At 36.3% G+C, this 8,799-nt stretch overlaps 1 long non-coding RNA gene across 1 annotated transcript; it reads right to left on the minus strand.

Annotated features, from left to right (window-relative positions):
• Positions 1-2,872: 2,872 nt before the first annotated feature.
• On the minus strand, positions 2,873-5,125 carry LOC105377174 (uncharacterized). The gene is made up of 4 exons (XR_940983.3): positions 5,089-5,125; positions 4,941-4,978; positions 4,547-4,594; positions 2,873-2,959 (listed from the first exon to the last, which is right to left on the minus strand). It is a non-coding gene; the product is annotated as an uncharacterized LOC105377174 (long non-coding RNA).
• Between the last annotated feature and the right edge of the window lie 3,674 nt (positions 5,126-8,799).

The following is an 8,799-nucleotide window of genomic DNA, read 5'->3' on the forward strand; positions in this document are numbered from 1 at the left end:
GTTGACCAGGCTGGTCTCAAACTCTTGGCCTCAACTGATACACCCACCTCGGCCTCCTGAAATGCTGGGATTACAGGTGTGAGCCACTGCGCCCAACCCTATAGCAACCCGTTTATAATAGACAAAAAGTGGAGACAATCCAGAAGTCCATAAATTGATGAATGGCTACACAAACCTGGCATATTTATACAATGGAATATTACTCAACATCGGAGGAAAATACTAATACATGCTACAATATGTAGATAACTTCAAAAATGTTATGCTAAGTGTAAAAGCCAGGCATTTTAAATATTATAAAATTTCACTTATATAAAATATCCAGAAAAGGAAAACCTATGGAGACACAAAGTAGATTGTTTGTTGTTTGGTGCTAGGGTTGATAGTGGGAAGTGACTACAAATGTGAATGAGGGATCTTTTGAATGTGAAAGAAATGGTCTAAATTTGGATTGTGATAACAGTTTCACAACTCTGTTAATTTCACCAAAATTTTAAATTATACGCATAAAAAGTACACATTTTATGGTATGATAGTTATACCTCGATAAGATTTTCTAAAATATACAACGACAGAGCGTCAATAAGTTCTGAATCAACATAAAAATGCCACAGCACAGTAACTGGATGACAGAATGAAGTGAAAAAGACAGAAAAATTTCATAAAATAATATCTGAAAATGTTTCAAATTTGATGAAAATTAATAACCTACAATTCCAATAAGTCCAAGGAATCCCAATGATAAATATGAAGATTGCTACATAATACTTATAATCAAACTGCTTAAAATGAGTGAAAACCAGAAAAATGTGAGAACAACTCTAATCAAAATAAATATTACATACAGAGAATGACCAGTGGCTCACACCTGTAATCTCAGCACTTTGGGTGGCCAAGGTGGGTGGATTCCTTGAGCCCAAGAGTTCAAGACCAGCCTGGGCAACATAGTGAAGCCCCAGCTCTTCAAAAAATACAAAAATTAGCCATGCGTGATGACAGGTGCCTGTTATCCCAGTTACTCGGGAGGCTGAAATGGGAGGATTGCTTCACCCTAGGAGGTTGACGCTGCAGTGAGCTGAGGTCACTCCACTGCCCTCCAGCCCGGATAAGAAAGTGAGACCCTGTCTCAAAAAATAATACGAAAGTTGAAATAATCCATCACTAGCAGTTCTACAATATAAGATATTTTAAAGAAAGTAACTCACAAAAAAAAAGATAGCAAATGGAAATCTGGTTTTCCTCCAAAGGAATAAAAGGCAATAATAATGGTAGTTATATAAAATAGATTTTTATTCCAATATCTTTTATGTTTTGAGGTTTATAGACAAAAATAATAATAATGTAGTTGGGGTTTGTAACCTATGTACATGGAACATGAAGATATAAAAATCTATACTCTAAACACTAAAGCAACCACTAAAATAAAACAATGAATGGGCAAATATAATGAATCAAAGAAAAAATGGAATAAAAATCTGTAATCACATCAAAAGAAGGCAAACAATAAAGGGAAACAATGGATGAGACAAAGGTAATACAGCTCGCAGGATGGAGAGTTTAAACCCAAGCTGATCAACAATCATATCAAATGGAAATAGTCTGAACAATCTAATTGTAAGGCAGAGATTATCTTATCATCAGAAAAAATAACTAATGGGTACTAGGCTTAATTCCTGGGTGATGAAATAATCTGTACAACAAACCCCCATGAATATTCTGTACAACAAACCCCAAGTTTACCTATGTAACAAACCTGCACATGTAGCCCTGAACTTAAAAGCTGAAACAAAGTAAGCTTCAGCTGTATGCTATCTATGAAAAGTCCACCTTAAGTATAAAAATGCCAATAGATTAAGAGGAAAAAGAGGGAAAAGCTCTTCTTTGCTGTTCCTAAAAGGTGCACTTGATTGTTTATATTAAGATCACACAAAGTAAATTTTATTATTTTTTTACATGATTTAATTATTATATATAATCATACATGTTAACATTTATATATATATATATAATTTATTTTGTTGTTGGCTCATTAGGGCATATTAAGCTGCTTGTTAATACTCCTGTAAAGAAAGAATAGACAATTGTGTTCTGAAAATGGCTCCCCACAATGTCGTCATAATAGAGCTTCCCAGGATAATTTCAACCATATAGCCCAAGAAAGTTAGCTCTCAAAATAAAGCAGTTTTTGTAAACACCCATGAAATAATGTCCTTCATTCGGGATTTTGATCAAGTTGCTCTGGCCTTTCTCACTGAACCCAAAAATTTTAAATACATTTTTCAGATTAAGATCAAATAGAGCATTCATGGGAAACTTTCTCCATGATAGTCAGTTAGAATCGATCCCACTCCTCTTCCTACCTGAGCCCCCATTCAAGGTCTTTCCTCATTCTGCCTTGCATTAAATCTTATTAATGAGTACAGTTGAGCTTATTCATAGAGTCTATGAAGACTGGACTCTGTAAAACAGGCATCTTTAATCAATTGTACTTTGTAGCACTGTGCTTTGCACAGAGTGGACATTCGGTACATTTTGTTGTCATAACATATTCACCTGCATTGAAGACCCACTCTCTGCCAGAAGAAACTTACACTTTAGGGACTCCTCTGAGGATGACCAAAAGGGAATCTTTGCAGAGACGTCAATGCTATCAACTCCTCTGAGTTCTCATAAAGAACTCAGGGAGATTATGGTTCCCAGTGCTCTTGAGCATTCCCAGGGACTCTCATCAGTGAACAAACCAATAAACACTCAGGAATAAGGAACATCAATGTATCTGTTCCTTTAAAACCTCCAGAAAAATTCTGGCATCTAATCTTTCTTAAATGAGATTGTTACCTGCTGTTTCTGCTGGAGGAGGTTTGATGGGACTTCGGAATTCAGAGTGTTTAGGTTCATCAGAACTCATGCAAATGTTTCTAATCCAGTACTCAGAAGTAAATTTTAGAACAAATATAACCTGAGATAAAGATGTCATTTAAGAATCATAACAGTGTCAATTCAATAAGACAACGATTATGGACTGAATGGCTGTGTTCCCCCAAAATCATATGTTGAAATACTAACTCACAATATGATGGTATTAAGAGTTTAGGTCTTTGGGAGGTAGTTAGATCATGAGGCTGTCTCCACCTGAGTTTCAAAAGGTAGCACCAGTGCCACTGAGATCTGCAGGTGCAGGACACCTACCCTTTAAAACGATGCAGGTAGGACCATTCCCCCAGTGGGTCTAGAAGGCAGAGCATCAGGAGAAATAAAACTATTCTCAGATAAGACTTGGTAGAGTTTGACTGTGTATGTTTGGGACTTGCTTGAGACCCGTCATTCCTTTCTTCTTTTTTATTTCTCCCTTTTGGAATGGGAATATCTATCTTATGCCTTTCACACTCCTGTATTTTGGAAGCACATAACTTGTTTGTTTTCACAGATTCACAGCTATAAAGCAATTTAACTTTTAGATAAGTTTTACCTCAAATCTCACCTATAACTGATTTACATAATATTTAGATGAGACTTTGGCCTTTGTATTTTAGAGTTGTTGATGGAAAGAGTTAAGTGTTTCAGGGCTATTGGGATAAAATGATTGTATTTTGCATTTGAGAAAAACATGTATTTGGTGAGCTAGGAGAAGAATTTTATTGACTACATGTTTGTATTCTCCTAAAATTAATATGTTGAAAACTGCTCTCCTTCTCTTTCTCTCTGCTGTCTGTCATTTGATGAGGCAAAAAGAAAACAGCCAACTGCAAATTAGGAAGTGAGTTTTCACCAGACAGCAGGTCTCTGGGCACCTTGATATTGAGCATCCCAGTCTTCACAATTATGAGAAGTAAATACTTGTTGTTTAAGCCACACAGTCTATAATGTAGATTTACAGGCTGTACAATATTCAGTATTTTCATGTGCACTAATATACTAAGGTAGTTCACACTCTGGGCTACAAACAAGTGTAAATTCATTTTAGAGGTGTATGTTACACAAAGTATGTAATTTGACAACAATGTTATTAAAGTGGAAATCAAAAAATATAAAGATTTCTGGAAATACTCGAATCTCTCGAAACTAAACCTTAGTATTAGGTATCCCAGTCTCCAGAATTATGAGAAATAAATACTTGTTTTTTTTTTAAGCCACACAGTCTATGGTATATTTGTTATAGCATCCCAAACTGACTGAAACAAGTATAAACAAAATTTCTAAATAATCAGGTACCTAATAAAAGTATTTCAAAATAAATGGAACAAAAACTGACATGTGAAAAACAAAATTAGGCAAATTCTTAAAGATTGGATGTTTCAGCACTTCACTCTCAATAATTAATAGAATGTTAGACAGAAACTCTATGTATGAAACACTTGAACTTGACCTAAATTACATTTATAAAACATTTTACTGAAAAGTAGTACAATATTCAGTATTTTCAGGTGCACTTATCACACTCTGAGCTACGAACAAGTGTAAATTCATTTTAAGGGTTGAATAATATACAAAGTATATTCTTTGAAAGCAATATTATTAAAATGGAGATCAAAAAATATAAAGATACCTTGAAATGCTGTAATCCCTTGAAACTAAACTGCATACTTTCAAATAACTGATAGGCCAAAGGAAAAATCAAGAAAAAAAATTAGACAGCATTTTGAAGATAACAAAATAAAAATACAGATGTCAAAAGTTGTGTTTTAAGGTATGTAAGGCAGTTCTTAAGAGAAAATTGATAGCACTAAATGTTTATATTGAAAAAGAAAGAAGACCTTGAATCAATGTCATCTTCCACTGTAATAATTTTTAAAAAAGAGCAAGTTACAAAAAAGCAGAAGAAGAGAAAGAATACAGAAATTTAATTACACCATAAGCTGTTTTTTTAAATAAAGTTAATAAAATTGATAAAACTCTAGTGGCAAGGATCAGGCAAAAAGGCTACAGAAGATATAAATTACCAATGTCAAGAATGAAAGAGGGGACATCAATACTGCTCCTACAGATATTAGGAAAAAAATAAGTTAATATTATGAACAACTTTATGCTAATATATTTGATTTTAAAAGAAATGCATGTTTTTGAAAGATATAAACTTCCAACACTTACTTGATAAGAAATAGATGACTCAAATATCCATATACCTATTAAGTAAATTAAATTTGAGGTTAAACACAAATTTATCAAATTTCCACAAATAAAAGTCAAGACTCAGATGGCTTCACTGATGATTTCTACCAAAGATTTAAAGAAGAAATAATACTTCACAGAGAATTCTATAAAGTTGAGTTATATGAGGCCAACATCACCCTGAAATATAAATGAGATATAGATATTAAATTAATATTATAAACTAATATCTCACATGAGCATGGATATAAATATAAAGAATGTGTGGGTGGTTAGAGGAAGATATGTTCATTGAGATACCTAAGCATGGTTAGAGAAATTGCAGCCCTGTCAACTGCTGTACCAGAAATTATAAGAATTTAAGAAATCTGTAACTGACAATGGGATCAATAATTTTATAATTACATGGAAAACAGTTTAGAAACCATCGAAGTAAAATGCAGACATATATTTCTTGTTCTTGAGTCAGTGTTTTTTTCAAAAAGACAGGCAACCTAGTATCCACTTAACACCCACTAGTAATAATTACTGTCTTAATCCAGGTCCTCTGGTTAGCAGATGCCAAGACTTGATTAATATGCATGAGTTTGTATTATGAGAGAACATGTGAAAGAAATAGGTAGAAAGGAGCTTGAAGAGTAGGCATCTCACCATGCAAGTCTGACCCTGAATAAAGAATAGAGCGAAGGAGATGGATGGGTGGAAGAGAGTTAAATATTCATACTGTCTACGGAAATTTTAACGAGGTCATCAGGGATTTCTCAACCAGAGGTCGCTCAGCAGATGAAACCTGTGCCTCCAAGGAATGGACTTGCCCTAGGACACAAGCTATAAGCTATAACCAGCCATCTGCCAGAAGCAGTTGAAGAGGAAATGTGTTCTCAGTGAAGGAGTGAACATAGATTTCAGACTACAGAAACTGAAGTGCTTGATAAATTATGTTCCCTGTGGTTGGAAATCTATGGCATACATTTTTATAACTACCATAGTTCACCATTTGTGCTGTGCAAATATAAATTTATTATAGATTTGGGGAGCAAATTCTCCATGGTTCCTGTGGGTCTTTCCTCCCAGTGTGAAACTCAGGAGGAGTTGGTAGGATGAACTTCAAACTCTGTTGCTACACTTGATCATCAGACCATAACCGATTCTCTTCTTTCTCTATTTTAAATTTCCCTATTGATTTTACATTTTTCTCATGCTCTCTTGGGTGTCTTGGTGGCTTACCTGTTTTGTGATCTTTACCTTTATTCCTGAATTATCTGAATCATTGATGATATCCTTCTTTTTTCTTTTCTTTTTTTTTTTTTTTTTTTTTTTTTGGTGAGATGGCGTCTCGCTCTGTCACCCAGGCTGGAGTGCAGTGGCGTGATCTCGGCTCACTGCAAGCTCCGCCTCCCGGGTTTACGCCATTCTTCTGCCTCAGCCTCCCGAGTAGCTAGGACCACAGGTGCCCACCACCACGCCAGGCTAATTTTTTGTATTTTTAGTAGAGATGGGGTTTCACGTGTTAGCCAGGACGGTCTCGATCTCCTGACCTGGTGATCCACCCACCTCGGCCTCCCAAAGTGCGGGGATTAGAGGCGTGAGCCACCGTGCCAGGTGATAATGATATCCTTCTTAATCTTAAGTTGCTACCTGTCCTTTTTTCACACTTACACTGGTGGAAGAAATACTAGTGGGTGCTTACATAAATCACCTGAGTTCCATGTACATTCTCCCTGCCTCCTGCTGATTAGGGTCAAATACCTCACCGATATAGTATTCTTGGCTTTATATGCGTAAGAAATCCTGTTAGACTATGAAAGCACCTCTATCTTGTATTCCATGGTACCCTTAGTTTTCTTCCCTAGTAAAAGTTTATCCTTTTTGGAGATCAGAAATTCCAAACCTGTGCATTCCAGAGTTTTGTGGACAAGAAATACAATATTCTTCATTGGGTCAATGGAAGTAATATTAAGTGGAACTATTCCTGTTGAATCCTTTGGTTCCCAGATTCATAATCTTGCTATGACGTAGCACAATATAGAATTGCCTTATTCAATACATACACTACACCCTAAAAGGTAACCTCATTGTTTTATCCTGTTTCTTCTGAGTTGTGTTTCCTCTACACATATAAAAGGCTGTTAGAGTTTCAAAGAGGTTCTTTGCCTCTAGATGATATACTAAGGTAATATGACCAGTAAATATTATGGCCATAGGTTTACTACCACTTTATTTGATGTAAAGTGGTTTCCTTGGCTGGGTATTTTGTAGTATGGAATTCCATACCTGGAGATCAGGCATTTGGTAAGCCCCTGGAAAACGATGGTAACTGAGGGCCTTCAGGCAGAAAGGGTAAACCAACATCCACATAAAAATAAAACCCTGGTGAGTGGAAGGAGTCAATTTCATCAGCTTGCTTGCAAGTGGCTTATTCTTCTTGAGGAACAGTACTGGATCAGGGCCTCAATGCTAATCTCTGCTGATGAGGAGTTGGGCATTAAGAGGTAACAATAGCTAAATCAGCCTTCTATTTGGTAAATGGAAGTCCATTTAGTTGGGCATCTTTCTCTGCCACAATGGTCATCACATTCATTTGGTCACTATGCCTGTTCTAAGGAAGTCAGTGATGAAGGTTGATTAACCTCCACTGGCCCAATCATTTTTTCTATTTACCTATCTACTTGCTTCTCCTGTAAAGAATGCTTTCTGTTGGGCACTAATACATAAAAATCTTATTTTTTTTCCACTTCCATATGTCCATTGACACGACCACTTCAGATCTTGTGATGGTTAATATTAAGTGTTAACTGAACTCCATTGAGGGATGCCTAGATGGCTGATAAACTATTGTTTCTGGATGTGTCTCCAGAGGAAACTGATGTGTGTGAGTCAGTGGACTGGGAGAGGAGGACCCACTCTCAATGTGTGTGGGCACCATCCAATCAGCTGTCCACATGCACAGCTAGAACAAAGCAAGTGAAAAATGATCATTCAGTTTGTTGTGTTACCTGGCTTTCTCTCTGCTGAATTGTCTCATTCCCCATCTTGCAGAGAGCCTATCATGAGACTTCACTTTTGTAATTGTGTATATACATGCACACACATACACACACACACACACACACACACACACACAACCCTCCTATTGGTTATGTCCCTCTGGAGATCCCTGACTAATACAGACCTCCTTATTTCCAGTATTCCAATCCCTCCCTTGCCAGACTCCTGAGTAAAGGTCCAGCCATTAGTCACTGCCAAGCAATCTGTCTGTATTCTCACACTTGGACACATCCTTCTAAACCAAGAGGAAGACCAGGTAGAATGCTCACAGCTATACCCACTTGAAAGATTTTTGTTTCCCATTAACTTTCAGAGTCATATCTGAAGGAGGCTGTAATGTTAATTGCCATCCATTTTAAGCTTGCATGTACTTGGGATTATTCATTCATAAACCAACTTTTGGCTTTCTCCACCTGTTTCAGCTGGTTGTAGAGTATCTCCTCCTATTGCCTGAGGTACATTTGCAAGATCCTATTTCCAAATAAGGTTGCATTTACAGGAACCAGAGTTTGGACTTCAATATATCTTCTTGAAGAAACAATACAATCCACAACATTTGGTGTCCCATATTCAACTGTGCTGCCTCTACAAGTTCTACTAAGAGCTGTTTCTTATTCTTTTTCCTTTCTTTCATTCTTCATG

Source organism: Homo sapiens, chromosome 3, assembly GCF_000001405.40.
Source record: "Homo sapiens chromosome 3, GRCh38.p14 Primary Assembly".
NCBI classification, from domain to species: Eukaryota; Metazoa; Chordata; class Mammalia; order Primates; family Hominidae; genus Homo; species Homo sapiens.